The 20,012-nt window shown below is 49.8% G+C and overlaps 1 protein-coding gene across 5 annotated transcripts in view, besides 1 other annotated feature; it reads left to right on the top strand.

The window, feature by feature from the left end:
* The window catches only part of GSG1L (GSG1 like), a 276,187-nt gene that overhangs the window by 42,384 nt on the left and 213,791 nt on the right, over nucleotides 1-20,012 (top strand). The window lies entirely within an intron of this gene.
* Nucleotides 1,451-2,650: an enhancer, noted in NCBI's record as "BRD4-independent group 4 enhancer chr16:28030002-28031201 (GRCh37/hg19 assembly coordinates)". NCBI's record gives its function as "activates an origin of replication core promoter dependent on BRD2, P300/CBP, MED14 and CDK7 cofactors, and independent of BRD4, by STARR-seq in HCT116 cells {active_cell/tissue: HCT116}" and the evidence as "EXISTENCE:reporter gene assay evidence [ECO:0000049][PMID:35650434]".

Genomic DNA, 20,012 nt, shown 5'->3' with positions numbered 1-20,012 from the left:
CAAATGATTTAACTTCTGTCTCCCCAACCCTGAGTTTTACCATCTGGATTAGTTATCACTTGCCACCTGATAAGTCTGTGTACTTGCACCCCTTCTGCCTTCCACCATGATTGTAAGTTTTCTGAGGCCTCCCCAGAAGCCAAGCAGATGCCCCCTCATGCTTCCTGCATAGCCCGCAGAACCATGAACTGATTAAACCTCTTTCCTTTATAAATTACCCAGTCTCCGGTATCTCTTTATAGCCATGTGAGAAAGGACTAATACACCACCTAACAAATCATCCCCAAATGTAGTGGCTTAAAACAGCAATAATTGCTGATTATTTTTCACTGTTTCTGTAGATCAGGAATTTGGGAGTAGTTTGGTGGGCAGTTCTGGGTTGGGGGTCTCTCAGGAGGCTGCAGTAGGTGTGAGTTGAAGCTGCAGTCATCTGAGACTTTTGACTGGCACTGGAGAATCCTCCCAAGGGGCCTCACGTACATGGCTGCCTGGTTGGGGCTGGCTAGTTAGCTCCTTTCCCCATGAACCTTGCCACGGGGCTGCTTGAGCGTCCTCACAACATGGCAGCTGGCTTCCCCCAGATTCAGCAATCCAAAAGCCCTAGCAAGAAGTTGCAATGCCTTTTGTGACCTAGCCTTGGAATCACACACTGCCACTTCTGCAGTTGTTGGTCACACAAGTCATCCCTGATTCAATGTGACAGAGGACGGCAAAAGGGCAGGCAGACCAGGAGATGAAGCTCACCAGGGGTCACAGTGGCTGGCTGCAACACCCCCTCTGACATAAGGACAAGAGTACCCACTTTATAGAGTTTTTGTGAGGATTAAGTGAATCAATCCATGGAAAGGTACTTAGAACAATGGTTGGCATATTGTAAACTTCAGACGAGCACTAGTTATCGTTATTGTTTCAGAAATGCTGCCAGACACATCCCCTTCATGCATTCTTCTGGGTATTACTTTACTGCTTAATTTTGCAAATGTAGATTGGTTCTCAGATTCCCTGGAATGACACCCCTTATAACAATGATCATGAATAGCAGCGCTTTGGAGTAGCCGCCAGAACTGTTTGAGCCACCGCACAAAGACGGCACCCTGCATAGCCATTTTGCATGTCTGCTTCACTGGGTGGACTGAGTCGCCAATGCCCAGCAAGACAGTAGGGCCGATTTTGATCTCTTTGGGAACAGGCATTGAGTCTTTGACTTCAATCACTCGCCACATCAATGTCTCTGCGCGAACGAAGGCATTGATGAGAGAGTGGACTTGCTACTTTCAAACACAGAACAGGAAACTTGACCATCTTCAGTGCTTTAGTCCAAGGATCTGAAACTCTAGTGCCTACAAGGCGAGACAGGTGACCCAAGTTTGGGAAGTGGCCAAGGGTATGAAGAACCAGGTGAGCATGATGATAGAGCAGCAGCTGACCCCTGACCTTGGTGATGGAGAAATAATAGGGAGTGGTAGGGGCTGTGGCAAACAGGAGTGCACATGCTCTGTCTCTGGGGCCACTGTTAGAAGTGCCAGCAAGTCATTGTCTGCAAGACTGTGGTCTAGCGTGGCCTAAATTTCTGCTCCCTTCTCTGAGTGCTTTGCTGCTGTGGTCCACAATTACAGTGACCCTTTGGACGATTGATGCTTGAGCTGTCCTGTAATTTGCATCCAGGTGCTACCAGAAAGGTGTCCTGATCCAGACCCCAAGAGAGGGTTCTTGGATCTTGTGCAAGACAGAATTTGAGGTGAAGCCATAGAAAGTGAAAGTAAGTTTATTAAGAAGGTAAAGGAATAAAAGAATGGTGACTCCATAGGTGTCAAAGAATGAGTACTCCAATGGCTACTCGTGAAAACTTATTCAAGAGTTTTCTGGGAAAAGTGTGGGCAATTCCTGAAACTGAGGGTTCCTCCTCCTTTTAGACCATATAGGGTCACTTCCGGGCATTGCCATGGCATCTTTGAACCGTCATGGCGCTGGTGGGAGTGTCTCTTAGCATGCTAATGCATTATAATTAGCATATAATGAGCAGTGAGGATGACCAGAGGTCACTTTCGTGGCCATCTTGGTTTTGGTGGGATTTGGCTGACTTCTTCACTTCATGCTGTTTTATCAGCAGGGTCTTTGTGACCTGTATCTTGTGCTGATATCTTGTGCTCCCATCTCATCCTGTGACTTAGAATGCCTAACTTCCTGGGAATGCAGCCCAGTAGGTCTCAGCCTTATTTTACCCAGGCCTTATTCAAGATGAAGTTGCTGTGGTTCAAACGCCTCTGACACAGGGTGTACAGTGGCTCATGGACACCTCGACCAGCTTCTCCCTTTAGCATGAAGGGCCCATTTCACACCAGAGTTCCACCCGAGCAGATCATGGCAGTGGGGAGCATTTGCTGACTTCCTTCATCTGAGAATTGTCCACTGATTGGCATCATGAAGTGTTTCACTCTGTGCAGGTCGCAGCTGGGCTTGGGGATCAAAGGCAATTCAGAGCATCCCTCAAGCCTCTATGGAGAAAACAGACATGTCTCAGCACTTCATGTGGGGGCGGCATGTTATGGGCTCCGGTTTCCAGGTGAGGTGGGGTCTGGGTTATTTGACTGATCTCAGGACATCAACAGTGGGACTGATGCATCTAACTTGCCTGGGGGTGGGGGGAAGGTGGCATTGTGGTTTCCTGCACAATGGCCGTTCCCTCTTCTTTCTTGTTATTCTTCCTTGTCTACCTGACAAGGAGACTGAAAAGGGAAGCTACTTTCCTAGCCTCCCTTGAAGCTAAGCAGTGGTTTAGTGACCCAGTTCTGGCCAATGCAATGTAAGCAGGACTCTGCTGGGGGCTTTTGGGGATGTATTTTTCCTCCTGATGGAAGGATGTGGGGGCATATGAGTGAAGTCTTTCTCACCATCCTGAATGCCCCTTATTTCCTGCATTTGGAAGTGGTTGGGTAAGGATGTGATGTCTGGAGCTACCGCAGCCATCTTGTGCCTCTAGGAGAAGTCTCAGAGAATTGCAGACTTAGATTCCTAATGTTGTTGAGCAACTGGATCAATCTTTAGCTACCTACTTCCAGTCTTCTTGTTATGAGACAGAACTGAATGCCTTTATTATTTAAGCCACTGTTAGGTTTTTATTACAGCCAAAAGTTGCATTACTAATGTTACAGGCAGTGTTTGAACAACATGTTCTCTGATGGTATGGAGTGGAAAATTGGGTGCTCCTTAAATACCGATAAAGGCTTGAATTTTGTTGTGCTGGCTCTATCATATTTCTGGGGCTATTTTCTATTTTTTAAATCTCTAAATTAAAAAAGTGAAATATATCACTTATAAAAAAGAATGTTTAAAACATATCTGTATAGTCTAAGAAGAATAATAAAATACCCATGTACTCACCACCTAAGGATTAGAACATTACCAAGTCTTAGACATTCCTTGTGTGCCCCTCCCCATCACATCCCGTCCCTCCCCAAAGTTAACCAGTATCCTTAATTTTGCATGAGTCACTTTCTGCCATTCCTGATAGTTTTAACACCCACATAATCCTAAACAATATGATGTTTAATTTTGCCTGTCCTTGAATTTCATCTAAATACATGCAGACTCTACGCATTGTTTTGTAAGTTGCTTCTTTTGCCCTCTGTGTTGTACGGTATGTTTTTGAGTTTGTGCATGTTGATGTGTGCAGGACTGCATCTGTTATTTCCACGGCTGCGTAGTTTTTGTTATAAGGCTCTCTTGCAGGTTGTGTATTTCTTCTGCGGTTGACAGACAGTTGAGATGTCTCTCATTCTTTTGCCATCACCAACCCGTCTGCTCTAAACATTCTTGTCCATGGCTCAGGGTGCCACAGGGAAGAGTTGCTCTGGCACGGATTCCTTTGAATGGAGTTGCTGGATCACAGGGAAAGACGTATTACTTTCATTAGATAACGCCAAGAAGTTTTCCCAAGTGGTTGCACCTACTTATCCTCACACAGTAGTGACTGAATGTCCGTGTTGCCCACGTCCTCGCTGACATTTGGTCCTGGGTATGTTCTGTTCCGAATGTCCCTCTGTCCCTGCCAAGTTGACCTCTGACCTTTGAAGATGCCTTTCCCTGTGTGTCATTACATATCAGCATCCATACTTCTTCAAACAGTCACCCCAGAATGATGCTGGGGTCCTGAAATAAGGCCATTATCTCAGTCCTGGTCTTTATCTTTGGGTTCAACTGATTTTGGAGTTTCCAATAAGGAGAAAAAAACCAATTTGATATTCTCAGACATCAGAACTGCACCTGATTTGATTCACAAGACAGTGGGAACTTTTCCTGAAGGTCAGCATCCAATCTCTCTCCCTTGGTTCTCTCTGCCTCTGCGTTTTGTATAATCAACCCTAAAGGCGGAGGCAAGATCTAGGATTCTCAGAGTTGCACATTGCAGGGAGATGAGCATGCTGTGGACATTGTGGGGGAGGCAAGCGGATTTGGAAGGAGGTGAGAGGACTCTCAGGGCTCTGATGATGGACCTTGGACAGATCATTTAACCTCTCTGAGCGTCAATCTCCCCTTCTATTAAAATGGGGATGACACCAGTAGATAATTGTGCAGAGAGGGGGTGAATAAGTCATTTAGCACAATGCCGACATGCAGTAAGTTCTCAATAAATGTCAGCAGCTACTTTTAGTAGCAGTTCTCATCTGCATAGTGTTTTGGTGGGGTTGAGAAAGGTTCCAGACATTATTGCTAACATTCCATACATGCATTCCTATAAAACCTCATGATCTGTAAAGTCGTGGGCTAATAAGAAAGAGGCTTATGAGAAAAATAGAGTTGGGGTAGATGACCCCGAACCTAGGGAAGATTGCACTAAGCTCCAAACTAGCTAACAAAATCAATAACAATCTTAATAAAATCTGAGCACGGGTAAATCCTTGAGGGCATTTGTACCCAGCCACACAATCAAACGTTTCAGCCTTCAACCCTCAGCATCTGCTTCCTCCTCAGAGATGTAGGTCCAGGAGGACATTTGCTTCTAATCACGATCATTTTTATCCACATTAAAACTATGATTGGTTCCAGGTGCAGTGTGGCTCATGCTTGTAATTCCAGCACTTTAGGAGGCTGAGGTGGGCAGATCACCTGAGGTCAGGAGTTCAAGACCAGCCTGGTCAACATGGCGAAACCCATCTCTACTAAAAATACAAAAATTAGCCGGGCATGGTGGCATGCACCTATAATCCCAGCTACTGGGGAGGCTGAGACGTAAAAATCACTTGAGCCTGGAGGTGGAGGCTGCAGTGAGCCGAGGCTGTGCCACTACACTCCAGCCTGGGTGACAGAGCAAGACTCCATCTCAAAAAAACAAAAACAAAAAACTGTGATTGAAAGTGTAGCCTTTGCCACTGGCCTATTGTTTCAGCAGAGGTGGGAAGGACTTTGTAGCTTCTTCATCTCAATTTGCCATATCCCCAGATTATACAGCCCAGTGGCAGCAGAGAGGTTCTTGAAACCACAAATCCGGCCACCACTGGAACCAAGCTGGTACCAGAGGCACTTCTGTAGACTCCAGCTTTTTTCTTCAGTTTTTCAAGTCCTGATAAGGATATTTCTTTAATTGTACTTGTTCCTGACTACTTAAAAATATTAATGTGCTGGAGAAAATCTTGTATGGACACACTTTCCTCATTATTTCAACATCCTTCCCTTACATACTAATCATGAATGAGGTAACCTGGGTCAAAGGAGCCTGCCTTATAGCAGGATAGACTGTGTCCTCTAAGAGTCTTTCAGCACTGATGTTCTACAATGGGGTTTGGCAAGCTACAGCCCAGGGACCAAATCCATGGTCCTTTATTTTTTGAGACAGGGTCTTGCTCTGTCATCCAGGCCAGAGTTCAGTGGTGTGATCTCTGCTGGCTGCAGCCTTGAATTCCTGGGCTGAAGTGATCCTTCCACCTCAGCCTTTTGAGTAGCTGGGACTACAGCCATGCACCGACACAGCTGGCTAATTAAAAAAATTTTTTTGTAGACAGGGGTCTTGCTATGTTGCCCAGGCTGGTCCCAAACTCCTGGCGTCAAGCGATCCTTCTGCCTCAGCCTCCCAAAGTGCTGGGATCACAGGCGTGAGCCGCTGTGCCCAGCCCCATCCCACATTAGATATGGTGTTGCCCAGACCCTCATTGTTTAGCCATGTTTTGGCCCAAGGAGGTCAAATTTCCTGGTTCCTTGCCCAGGCAAAGAAGGCACTCTCTGCCTTTAAGACTTTTGTCTCTGGGAAACCACTGAGCTCAGATGTAACCAACTGGAAATTGATTTCAAAAGCTTCAACAGTGGACTCTGTCCCAGCCACATGGGACTGCAAGGACTAGTAGTTACACCAGTGCCTCCTCTCAAAGCTCACAACCTGGCTGGGGCAGGGCAGGGGCCAGGTTAGTACTGAGAGCAGCTCCTTTCCCGAGAGGACAAGACAAGCATATTTCTCACTTGCTTTAGAAATGCAAGAAAGGTTTATTATACCAAATAGGTATTCATTGCCAAAAGATATAACAGCCCAGTGGGACAAATGAGGCTGGCACGGTGGTTAATGCCTGTAATCCCAGCACTTTGGAAGGCTGAGGTGGGAGGATTGCCTGAGCCTAGGAGTTCAAGACCAGCCTAGACAACATAGTGAGACCCCGTCCCTACCAAAAAAAAAAAAAAAAAAAAAAAATAGCGTGCCTGTAGTCCCAGCTACTTGGGAGGCTGAGATGAGAGGATTGTTGGATCCCAGGAGTTGGAGGTTACAGAGAGCTTTGATTGCCCTACTGCACTCCAGCGTGGGTGACAGAGCGAGACCCTGTCTCTTAAAAAAATGAAAATTAAGAAAATGACTCCCCTTTCCGTGTGCTTATCCCCACTCTTCAGTTTAGTCTGTATTTTTCCAGTTGTTTTCTCTATTATCAACCGCATACCTATGTAAAGAGATGGAAGCAGAGAGGTACAGTTCTACTCTCTGCTTTCTCCCCATGACAACATAACTGAGGCATGTTCCCGTGTCTGCACGTGTGGATCTGCCTCGTGCTCTTCAATAACTGTTTATTAGTATGTCCTCCCATGGATACACCTTTATTTATTCAGAATACATACTTCCTTTCAGCTTAGTGCAAATGTCATCTTCCTCCAGGAAGTCTTCCTTGATTCTTGCAGCACAAAATGGCCACTTCCTCCTCCAAACTCCTAGGTCCCTGTCCCTTTCTCAGGCTCTAGATGAGTCAGGGTAAGGCTATGCTGCTGTAACAAAGAGATCCTGCAATATGGAGGCTTGAAGAACAGGGCAGCTGTTTCTCTCTTAGGTCGTAGTCCTGGTTGGTGGGGCAGCTCTGCCCCTGCCAGTCATTCCAGGAGCCAGGCTCCTTCCAAGTCATTGCTCTGTATGCCCTAGGGCACCCTGGTCGTTGTCAGTGTGGCTGAAGTGAGCCACATAGGAAGGCAGGAGATGCCTGATGTCTTCACCCTGACACGGACTGTCCATTCACAAGCCATTGGCAAGAGCTTTGCATGGCCATGCCTCCTGTCTGGGAGGCCTGGGTGTCTGCAATGCCATGGAAGAAGAGAAACCAGCTTTGGTGTACAATCGCTAGTGTTTGCTATTATACAAACCTTGATGCCTTAACGTGGCGCTTGGGGTCCCCATGCTGTGGGAGATGAAATGCTGAGAGAGCAGGATCCAGGGCTGGTCCATCTTCGCATCTTCCTTCATGTCCTGTGTGGCACCTGGCACGTGGTCAGTGCTTGGAAAATGCCAAGCCCATGTGTGGACGTACAGTCACCAAATCAGAGAGTGGTGGGCAACAGGGTCTAGTAACATTTCCCTGCCAAGCACTGTTCTGGGCCCTGAAGACCCAAAGCATAGTTGCTCCACCCCCAAACATTATAGTCATGATCTCTTTGGGTTTCTGGAAAAGGAGATTCTCTTCCTGTGGCAGGGGCACATGCCATCTCTTCCTCCTGACGCCCACCTCCCTCTGCTCGCCAGCTCTCCTCACTTGCCTAGCTGGCTCCTACTGTATAACTCTCCATAAATGTTACCTCTCCCAGACTAGGTTGGCTCTCTCCATTATCCACATGTGTATTATATTTCTCCCTTGTAAGTTTTTTTTTTTTTTGAGTCAGAGTTTTGCTCTTGTGGCCCAGGCTGGAGTGCAATGGTGAAAGCTCACTGCAACCTCCACCTCCTGGGTTCAAGCGATTCTCTTGCCTCGGCCTCCCAAGTAACTGGGATTACAGGCATATGCCACCATGCACGGCTAATTTTTTGTATTTAGTAGAGAGAGGGTTTCACCATATTGGTCAGGCTGGTCTCGAACTCCTGACCTCAGGTGATCCACCCGCCTCGGCCTCCCAAAGTGATGGGATTACAGGTGTGAGCCACTGCACCTGGGCACTTGTAAGTTTTATAAATTGCATTGAAGTAACTTTTTTTTTTTTTTTTGAGAGTTCTTGCTCTGTTGCCCAGGCTGGAGTACAGTGGCATGATCATAACTCACTGCAGCCTTGAACTCTTGGGCTCAAGTGATCCTCCCACCTCAGCTTCCCGAGTAGCTGGGACTACAGATGCATGCTGCCACCCTCGATAATTTTAATTTATTTTAAAAATTTTTTCATAGAGACACGGTCTTGCTGTGTAGCTGAGGCTGGCCTGGAACTCTTGGCCTTGAGTGATCCTTCTATCTTGGCTTCCCAAAGCACTGGGATTACAGGCATGAGCCACCATGCCCAGCCAGAAGTATCTTTTTTTTTTGTATAAAATTTCATTTCAGGTCAATCTGCACTCTAAGTTTGTAAGCTCTATGATGACAGGTACAGTTTTGTGTGTTCAGTGCCTAGCAGACTGCCTGGCCCAATAGACATTCTGTCTACACATGTTAAATATTTAATCAATATTGTCACCGGTTCACCACGGATGAGAAAATGGAGGCTCAGAGAGGTTGAGTGACTGGCCTAAGATCACACAGCAAGTGAGTTTCAGCATTGGGATTTTGGGCTGCCTCCAGAGCTGCTGCTTTCACAGGCTAATGCAATTAGAATACCACATGATGTGTGCCATAACAGGGTATTAATAGGCTGTGTTTAAGGGGTGGTGGGAGGGCAGAGGGGGGCGTGACTGACTCAGCCTAGGGGAGGGGTGGCTGCCTGGAGGAAGCAGTGACCTTGGGGGCTCAGAAACCGTGGGGCATTTGGAGCAGCTGTAGCGACTGCGTGGGAGTATGAAATCTGAGACCAGAGCAGAGCTGGTTGTGAAGCTCCTGCTTGGGGGTGTCAGGGAGTTTGGACTTAGTTGAGCTGAGGGGAACTCTCAGAGTTCGTAAGCAGGGGAGTGACATGATCTGGTGGGTTCTGTTTAGAATGTCACCCTAGGTCAGGGTTGCAAGCTGACGGCTGCTGGCTGGCAGAGTTGGCTGTGCTCACTGGGAATCTGAAAATGGAATCCGTGGCAAACTGCATTAGTTAGGAGTTAAGTCCAACTGCTGAGCCAAATACCCAAAATTATAGCGGCTTAAGCGAAATAGAAGCTTTCTGTCCTCTGTCACATGAAAGTCTGAACGAATCAGGCATCTCAGCTCTACTTCAGGGGCCCAGAATCCCTCTAGACAGTTGCTCTACCATCCCAAGGCACTGCCCTGGTCCACATGGTCCTCGATGGCCGTGAAGGCACAGAAGGAGGAGGCAGATGGACATTGGGGCCAAAGAGCAGTCTCTCTCACTTCAAACTTGAAACATCAGGTGATTCCACCCAAAAACCAGGGTTCTGACTTCTCTTGGACGACAGGAAGGATCTAGCAGGACTGGGCCACACATGGCCACGACTGACTCGATCTGGACCATGTCTGCCTCTTTCGGATGGGCCCATGTGCTCCAGTTCATCACGGTCCTCACACTCCCTTTTGTCCCTGACCGCCGAGGCAGTGTGTCCATTGCTCAATCCTCTTACACCAGCCCCTTTGCTCAGTTTCATGACCCTGTAGTCCCCAAAGCATGTGAGCTCACAGCCCCCAACCCAGGGCGGAGGATGCCCTGCAGGCGGCTGGGCTGGGAGGCTCTCTCGGGCAGTGGCGGCTGTCATGAGGCAGGACTGGCAAGGACCAGGCCAGGCCCAGGCTCTTTGCTGAGAACATCCCTTCCTTTCTTCCTTCATCCTGGTGAACACAGTTCCAACAACTGCCTCTGCCTCTAAAACTCGTAGACTCTCCAGGGGAAACCTTGTTGGAAATCAGGGTGAGGTTCTTTTCTAAACAGCCATCTGGGCGTGTGTACAGGGCTGCCTTTCATTCTCCTGGGAGCTCTTAGGGGCATCCAAGGAGTGCAGCCTGCCCGGCAGAGCCCCGACGACCCATCAGAGCCCCTCCTCAGCTCTACCCTCAGGCTCCCAGGCCTGCTTGACCACCCTAGAAAAGGCTGAGGCTGGCACAGGGGAGACATCATGTAACTCAGGATGCTGATCAAACTTCCTGTCAGAGGCAGTTGCGGGCGGCTGCATTTGAATTTTGCAATCACCGTCCTGTGGGAGTTCTAGATGACACGCTCCCCACTCCTGCTGGGCACCAGTTGCCAAGGAATGATTTCCGGTGGAGGGATGTTTGGTGCCATCTTTATCCATTATTCCTGACCCCTGGCTTCCATCACGGAGACTCCATCAGGCAGGAGGAGGGATGGATGGCTTCTCCTGTCAGAGGCAGATGTGAATGAGTTTACTGGAGCTGGGGAGCAAAGAAGTTTGCTTCCAGTGGGTGCAGGTCTCATGGAGATTGAAGGTCCCTGCAGGCTGGAAATGGCCTTGGCACGGTGGCACCTCCAGATTGAACAGCACTTTTTTGGTCTGCAAATAGCTCTCCCGTATTAGTCCAATCCAATATTTTCTTTCTGACCTGCAGCAATCAGAGGGGGCCTCTGTGTCCCCCTTGGGGACTAGGTACCTTTTAGCAAAATCCCCCCACAGTGCATGCTGTCTCTAGGGTCCAAGCCTTCCGCTAACCCTAACCTGCCTCTGCATTTGGGGTCTGGGTTTCTGGTGGTTGACTCCCTCCTGAATGGGGTAGTGTCAAGATAAGATGCTGCCCCTTCTTGGGTTTCCATAGAGACAAATCCCTCTCAAAGAGCGTCTGAGGATTTTGCTGACTTTACTGAAGATCCGTGGGAGGTTCCATTGCACAGTGCAGGTGACACGGTGCATCTGGCATCCTCCTGGCCCCTCTTCCTTCTACCTGATTTCCCAAGGAGTTCCCGGTGTCTCTTCCTCACGCGTGCAAAGCCGCTTCCCTCTCCCCTGAAGCCTTTCCTGTTGGCGCCGATATACAACCTTGCAAGCGTGTGTGTGTGTTTTGCGGGTGTGTGTGTGTGCATGAGGACATTGGGGCACTTGCCTTCTGCACTGAAGCTCTTGTCAAAACATTTTTCTCCACAAAGTCATTTCTGTCCTCAAGAGGAATTCTGGTGCCAGCAGCTAAGATAAGACAGTTTCTTCACTTGTTATGTGGCTAACAGCTGTGAAGTGGGCTGAAGCAGTTAAGTCATAATCCCCATTTTACAGATGAGGAAACTGAGACTCAGAGAGAGGCAGTGACTCCCTCAGGGTCACCCACTGTGGGACTCCGTTCTAGGCTTGCCGACCCAAGGCCAGTGCCGTTTCCACTGCATCCCTGCCTCATGGAAGCCTGTTTGCTGGAGTTTGGTCCTGAGTTTGCTTCCATGGTGAGCCTTGCCTGGTAGGGCCAGAGACGGGGGTAATGACACAGCACGCATTTACTCATTCACCAAATAGGTAATGAGCCCGCGCCCTGTGCTAGGCACCAGATACTCGGTAATCAGTGGTGAGTGATACAGGGACTCTGCCCTCGTGGAACTGATGGTCCAGTGAGGAATCAGGTGAGCACACACACAAATGCATGTGTTCCCACAGGCAGGCTGAGTGTCACTGAGACAAATCCATCAGGGTCTGGGGTAAGGGCATGCAGGGGGGGCAGGGGTGCTATTTTATAATGGGGGGTCAGGAAGGCCACTTTGAGGGCACAAGCTCCAAAGGTATCTGGGGTGACAGAGCAAGCAGGTGCAATGTCTGAGCCTGGACAGTGTTTGGTGTGTGCAGGGAGCTGCGAGGAAGCCACAGGGTCTGGAGCACAATGATTGAGGGAGAAGGTCGGGGAAAGAGCAGGGAGGAGAACAGGCATCTCATATGGGGCACCTGCGCTCAGAACTGGGCAGTTAAAACAGTACTGATGTGGCCAAGCACCGTGGCTTACTCCTGTAATCCCAGTACTTCGGGAGGCCAAGGCGGGCGGATCACTTGAGGTCAGGATTTCAAGACCAGACTGGCCAACATGACGAAACCCTGTCTCTACTAAAAATACAAAAATTAGCCAGGCGTGGTGGCGGGTAACTGTAATCCCAGCTACTCTGGAGGCTGAGGCAGGAGAATTGCTTTAACCTGGGAGGCAGAGGTTGCAGTGGTCCGAAATCCCGCCACTGTACTCCAGCCTGGGTGACAAATCGAGACTCTGTCTCAAAACAAACAAACAAAAAAGTTCTGACAACTGCACCCCACTTTCTGGACATTGCTTCTTTCTAAAAGCCCCTCAGGTAACTCAAATGTGCAGTGAGGGCCAAGAGCCACTGGGCTAGGGCCCTGCCGGCCACCGTGAGGACTTCGGTTTCATTCTAAGTGTGATGAGAAGTCCTTGGTGGGCAGGAAGGGAGGTGATGCAATCTGACGTACTTTTCTAGAAGACCTCCCTGGTGCCTGGGTTGGAACAGATGGAAGGGAGTGAGAGGGGAGGCAGGGAGGCCATGAGGAGGCTGCTGCAATGGTCTGGACAAGGGGCAGCAGTGGCTGATGATGGAGGCAGCCTTGGCCAGGTGTCATGCTGGACCCCTCTTAACTTCAGGAGGGATGGCACAAGGTTCAAGAGGCCAAGGAAGAGACCTGGAGCCAGCAAACTAAACATAGAGTTTTGCCAGGCGTGGTGGCTTATGCCTGTAATCCCAACACTTTGGGAGGCCGAGGCGGGTGGATCACCTGAGGTCAGGAATTCGAGACCAGCCTGGCCAACATGGTGAAACCCTGTCTCTACCAAAAATACAAAAATTAGCCGTGTGTGGTGGTGCACACCTGTAGTCCCAGCTACTCGGGAGGCTGAGGCAGGAGAATCACTTGAACCCAGAAGGCGGAGGTTGCAGTGAGCGGAGATCATGCCACTGCACTCCAGCCTGGGTGACAAGAGACTCAATCTCTAAAAAAACAAAAACAAACAAAAACCATACAGTTTATTTGGGGGAACTTACCTACAGGGTGCTCCAGTGGCGATGGGCTGGACAGAAGAACAACGGCTCGTAAAATGCGTGCAGTTTCTATAGTACTTTCACTTAACACCCTTGGTCTGGCAATCCTCATTTCTTAAGTCAGGTGTGTCTGCCATACAGGGTATGCTTAAGTTGTTATTGCTGTCAATTGCATCTGCCATACACCAGGGTCCTCAGATTACCACAAACTCAGTGGCTTAAAACAACACAAATTTAGGCTGGGCATGGTGGCTCAAGCCTGTCATCCCAGCACTTTGGGAGGCTGAAGTGGGTGGATCACTTGAGCCCAGGAGTTTGAGACCAGCCTGGGCAACATAGGAGGACCCCCATCTCTACAGATAATTTAAAAAAATTAGCTGGGTGTGGTGGTGCACACCTGTGGTCCCAGATACTCAGGAGGTTGAGGTGGCAGGATCACCTGAGCCTGGGGGATTGAGGTGGCAGTGACCTGTGATGGCACCGCTGCACTCCAGCCTGGGTGACAGAGCAAGATCCTGTCTCAAAACCAACCAACCACCAACCAACCAACCAACCAACCAACCAACCAACCAACCACACACACATGCACATTTATTCTCCCACAGTTCTGGAGGACAGGAGTCTAAAATGAAGGCATCCACAGGGCTGCACTCCTGGGGGCTTCAGGGAGGAGGTTTCCTTGCCTTTTCCAGTCTCTAGATGCCGGTTATACTCCTTGTCTGGTATCTCCTGCATCTTCAAAGCCCGTCACTCTAACCTTTGGTTTTGTACCATCATATCATCTTTTTTTGATTCTCTGGCTTCTCTCTTATATGGACCCTGGTGATTACTTCGGACCCACCTGGATAATCCTGGCTAATCTCCCCAGCTCTCGATCCTTATCTTCATCACCCAGCAGAGTCCCTTTTGCCAGGTAAAGTAAGATATCACAGATTCCGAGGATTAGGACGTGGACTTCGTGGTGGGGGCATTACTCAGTCTCTGACAGTCAGGGTCCCCTCTGGAGTGGTGGAGGGGCCTATGGGTGGAGCCTGGGGCTCCCTTATCTCCCTGGGGGCTCTCAGTGTCTCCCTGACCAGGCGCAGATAACCCCTGGCTTTTTTTGTCTGCTTTTAGATGCTGTGCCAGCTGCAAAGGCCAGTGTGTGGGTCCCACTCCTGTTCCCGAGGGGTCCTCCAGGTGGGCCGGCCTCTCCATGGTTGCTAGGGTGGCTCACTACCCCTAGGGTGCACTGGTGTCCACCTGGTCTCCCACCGGAGGGCTTGGTTGACCAGATCACCCACTCCCATTTGCCTGGCATTTTCAGAATGTATTAGTTTTCTGTGGGTGCTGTAATAAATGACCCCACAAACTTAGTGGCTTAAAACAGCATACATGTATTATCTTACAGTTCTGCAGGCCGGAATCCAGGACAGTCTCACCCACCTAAAATCAAGGTGACATGGGGCAGGCGCGGTGGCTCATGCCTGTAATCCCAGCACTTTGGGAGGCCGAGGTGGGCAGATCACTTGAGGCAAGGAGTTCAAGACCAGCCTGGCCAACATGGTGAAACCCCATCTCTACTAAAAATACAAAAATTAGCCAGGCATGGTGGTGTGTGCCTGTAGTCACAGTCACTCGGGAGGCTGAGGCACAAGAATCCCTTGAACCCGGGAGGCAGAGGTTGCAGTGAGCCGAGATCACACCTCTGCACTCTAGCCTGGGTGACAGAGCGAGACTCTGTCTTAAATAAATAAATAAATAAATAAATAAATAAAATACAATCAAGGTGTTGGCAGGCTGTGCCTTGTTCCGGAGGCTCTAGGGGTGAATGCATTTTTTGCTTATTCTGATTGTTGGCAGAATTCAGTTCCTACAGATGGTAGGACAGAGGTCCCTGCTTTCTTGCTGGCTGCAAACGAAGGGCTGTTCTTGGCTTCTAGAGGTCACCCTGTTCCTTGGCTGGGGACCCCCCACCCCGTCTTCTCCATCTTCAGAGCCAGCAACAGCGGGCTGAATTTTTCTCACCTGGCTTCTCCCTCTCTTCCTGCAGCTGGGGAAGGTTCTCTGCTATTATGGGCTCATGATGACATTGGGTCAACTTGGATAACGGATCATCTCCCCATTTCAGGGGCTACAACCTTAATTACACCTGCAAAGTCCCTTCTGTTTTGTAAAGTAACATATTTACAGCTTCCAAAGATTAAAGCGTGGACGTTTTAGGGGGCTGTTATTCTGCCGAAATGCACCCAATAATAACAAAACAATGACAATGTAATTAATACTTATTAAGCCTTTATTCTGCCGGTCTCTATGCCTGGCTCCTCAGAATCACCTCTGAGGAAGGTACTATTATTATGCCTATTTTAGGAATAGGAAACTGAGGCACAGAGGAAACTGAGGCACAGAGAGGTTAAGGGATGTGACAGGTTGAATTATGCCCCTCCCCCCCCACCATTCATACGTTGAACTCCTAACCCCCAGTACCTCAGAATGTGACCTTATTTGGAGCGAACGTTTTTATAGACATAAATCAAGTTAAAATGAAGCCCTTTGGGTGAGCCCTAATCCAATATGGAGTATGTCCTCCTAAAATGGGGAAATGCAGAAATACAAACCCTTACAGGGAGAATGCCATGTGGATGGGAAGGTGGCATCTACAAGTCAGGGAGACAGGCTGGGCTGTAATCCCACCACTTTGGGAGGCGGAGGAGGGCAGATCACTTGAGGTCAGGAATTCGAGACCAAGCTGACCAACATGGTGAAACCCCTGTCTCTACTAAAAATACAGAATTAGCTGGGCATGGTGGTGCATGCCTGTAATCCCAGCTACTTGGGAGGCTGAGGCAGGAGAATCGCTTGAACCCAGGAGGTGGAGGTTGCGGTGAGCTGAGATCGCACCATTGCACTCCAGCCTGGGCAACAAGAGCAAAACTCCATCTCAAAAAAAAGGAGAGAGGCCGGAAACAGATCCTTCCCCCACAGCCCTCAGAAGGAATCAGCCCTACCAACCTCTTAATTTTGGCCCTCCAGCCTTCAGAGCTGTGAGATAGGAACTGTCTGGTGTTCAGGCCACCTATTTGTGGTGCTTTTTATGGCAGTCCTAGCAGACTAATAAGTGTAACTTGTCATTAGTTGTGGCAGCTGGGTTCGAGCCCAGGCAGTCGTCAGTCTTTGGCTCTCTGGCTGTTTTTGTTGTCACGTCTGTCTCCAACTCTCTCCATTTTGGTCTCTTTGTCTCTGATTTACTCTGTTCTGATTTTTTTTTCTCTATCTTTTATTTGTTTATTTATTTTGAGACAGGGTCTTGCTCTGTTGCCCAGGTTGGAGAGCAGGGGCGCAATCATAGCTCACTGCGGCTTCCACCTCCTGGGTTTAAGCAAACTTCCTGCCCCAGCCTACTGAGTAGTTGGGATTACAGGCACGCACCACTTTGCTTGGTAAATTTTTGTTTTTTGTAGAGATGGGGTCTCATTCTATTCTGTTGCCCTGGCTGGTCTCAAACTCATGACCTCAAGCAACCCTCCTGCCTTGGCCTCCCAAAGCCCTAGGATTATAAGTGTAAGCTACCCTGCCCGGCCTCCTTTTTTTTTTTTTTTCCTCACTCACTCTCCCCTTCTCTCTCCCACTGCTTCTGGCTCTCTGGATTTCCGTCCTTCTCTCCTTCTGGCCCTCAGCTCCTATTGAGACAGGAAGTCCCTCACCTCCTTCCTCTCAGCTCCCTCATCCCCCTCCAGCCACTGTTCCTCCCAGGACACCCCTTTGCAATTAAACTGTGGATAGACCAAGGCCCAGATGCCAGCATCCCTGGATGCCCACACCGGCTGTTCTTGGGGCCTTGGCGGCAAGGGAGCAGCCAGCACTGAGGAGAGTGGGCAGAGAGCTACCCTCTCTGAGAGCGGAGGCCTCTGAGCTGCAGGAGGAGCCAAACTCAGCCCCCACTCACCACCCTGTGGGCTCTCTCCTGCCCCCTCCACCCTGCTGTGCACACAGGCGCCTCGGGCTGAGTGGCCGTCAGCCCAGCAGCCCCAGCAGGCCTGGCTGGTGCGTGACACTCACAGTGGGCACCAGCAGCTGTGCCGCCCGTGTCATCCTGCCACACTGACTCTTCTTTTTCTGCTCCTGGTTCCTGGCTTCAAGCTTTTCAGAGCAGTCTTCCTGCCCTCCAAATCCCAGCCTCCATCTTTCTGGGTTTGACTTTTTCCCTTTGTTGCCCCTGCTTCTGGGGTCCATGTTGCCCTGAGTGGGAAACTCCCAACTCCCTAAGGTCCGAGGAACCCTGTGGTCTGGCCAGCCCTGGCCCCTGGTTGGGTTGGGGGTGGGGATTGAGATGGAGACAGGATGGAGGAAATCAGGGAAGGCTGCCAGGGGGAATTCTGGGAAACACTGGGGAACGGACACTTTGGAGAGACCTGGCCGGCCCAGTTCTTCTCCTCTGGGAGCTTCCCCAACATCAGTCACGGCCATGCTGGCAACCACGTTTTCCTGCAAGGCCATGATTTACCCGGCCATGCTGATTGGCCACTAGAGCTGGACATGTGACCTGAGCTGGGCCAATTGGCTCCTCTGTCCTGGGAGTTTGGAGGACTCTGGGAGGTGGGTTGGCTTCTGTAGGGCTGGTCACAGGGACAAGGGGTGGAATGTTTGAGGGAGGCAGGCATGTGTTCAGAGGAGCAGAGAGGGGCTGAGACAGCCAGAGAGAGGTTGCCCAGCTCCCATGGCTCCCGTCCCCTGCAGTCCCTGCTGCTGGGTTCAGCGAGATGCCCGTGTATCCTTCTGTGTTAACAAGCATCCATTCTCAAGCTCCTGTGAGTGGGTTCTGTCTTTTGCAGCCGCTCAGCCTCCAGATAGCGCTTTTAAGAATGCAAATCAGATCACAGTGCTCGTCTGCTTGGTGCCCTCAGTGGCTTCCCAGAGCTGCAGCATTTCTCCTTAAGGCTGCCCCAGCACGAGGCTGAGCAATCTGGCCCTGGCCTCTCCCATTGTCCCAGGACTCGCTCACAACAGCCTCTTTGCTGTTTCTCCAGCACTCCAAGTTCATTCCTGCCCCAGGGCTTTTGGACTTGCTGTGCCTTTTGCCTGGGATGCTCTCCCCCTGGATCTTTTTTTGTTTTTCTTTCTTTCTTTCTTTTTTTTCTGAGACGGAGTCTCGCTCTGTCACCCAGGCTGGAGTGCAGTGGTGCATCTGGGCTCACTGCAAGCTCCGCCTCCCAGGTTCATGCCATTCTCCTGCCTCAGCCTCCCGAGTAGCTGGGACTACAGGCGCCCGCCACCACTCCTGGCTAATTTTTTTTTTTTTGTATTTTTAGTAGAGACGGGGTTTCACCGTGTTAGCCAGGATGGTCTTGATCTCCTGACCTTCTGGTCCTCCCGCCTCGGCCTCCCAAAATGCTGGGATTACAGGCGTGAGCCACCGCGCCTGGCCTCTTTTTTTCTTTTTAATTTGTTTTGAGACATGATCTTGCTCTGTCACAGGCTAGAGTGCAGTGGTACACTGCAAATACAGCTCACTCCAGCCCCCACCTCCTGGGCTCAAGCCATCCCCCTGCCTTAGCCTCCTGAGTAGCTGGGACTACAGGCATATGTCATCATGCTTGGCTAATTTTTAACATTTTTGTAGAGATGGGATCTTGCCACGTTGCCCAGGCTAGTCTTGAACTCCTGGGCTCAAGTGGTCCTCTCGTGTTGGTCTCCCATAGTGCTGAGATTATAGGCGTGAGCCACAGTGTGTGGCCACCCCCTGGATCTTTACATGGCCAGCTTGTCGTCATCAGGTTTGAGCTGGAAGTGTTCTCTCTTGTAGAAAAGGCCCTGGTCAGCCCATCAGAGAAGCCTCGCTCACCCTGTTATTCCATCACAGCATCCTGTTTTATTTTATTCAGGGCACATATCACCATCTGTTGTTTATTTATTTGTTGACTTGTTTACATCTGTTTCTCCTGCTGGAATGAAAACATCACATCTTGCGCACCACTGAATCCTCAGTGCTTCCAACACAGCCTGGCGCGTAGTAGGTGCTTAATGAGTATTTGTTGATTGAATGCAAAAATGAGGCAAGATGGCCCAGAGTTAGACTGCCAGGAGTTTGGCCAGGTTTGCTGGAAGAGAGTTAAAAGCCCATCTCGTTCTTCCCACACAGGAACCCCATTCTTGCCTATACATAGGCTGCTCTGCCCTTGTAGATGATAATTTGAAGGTTGCCAAGCAGCGGGTGGAGACCAGGCTGCCAGGCTGCACGGAGTGGTGATCGTAGCAGAGGTGACTCAGTTCTGCCTGGGCCAACCTTGGGCCCCCTTCTGGGCTGATACATACTCTATCCACTGGGCCAGTGTCTGTTCTTTCTCTAGAGGGCCACAAAATGATCTTTCCAGGAGGAACCCCATTTGTCCTACAGCCCTTCAGTAAGGGACTATGATTCACATCCCCCAAGATCAGAGGCTTTGACCTGGGAGAGGGCCTCTGGTCTAAAAACAAGCCCTGTTTTGGGTAAGCTGGTGGAGGAGACGATTTCACGTGTGGGTGAATTGCCTTTCGTCTGCCTCTCTCTGATTTGTTTTTGAAAATTCATTGTATTTATTAGATGTGCCATCACACAATGGTCCCTTGACATATTTCATGCTGTAAAGAGACAGCCCCTGCCATCAAGCTGTACGCTGTAGCTGACAACACTGTGTGTCTTGTGCATACTCACGCATACACTTCCACGTGGGCACACGCTGTTGTCAAGCACACAGACGTCACAGGCTGGTGGGAGC

The sequence above is a fragment of the Homo sapiens genome, chromosome 16, assembly GCF_000001405.40.
Source record: "Homo sapiens chromosome 16, GRCh38.p14 Primary Assembly".
Lineage (NCBI taxonomy): Eukaryota > Metazoa > Chordata > Mammalia > Primates > Hominidae > Homo > Homo sapiens.
This window is presented reverse-complemented; position numbering and strand designations above follow the sequence as displayed.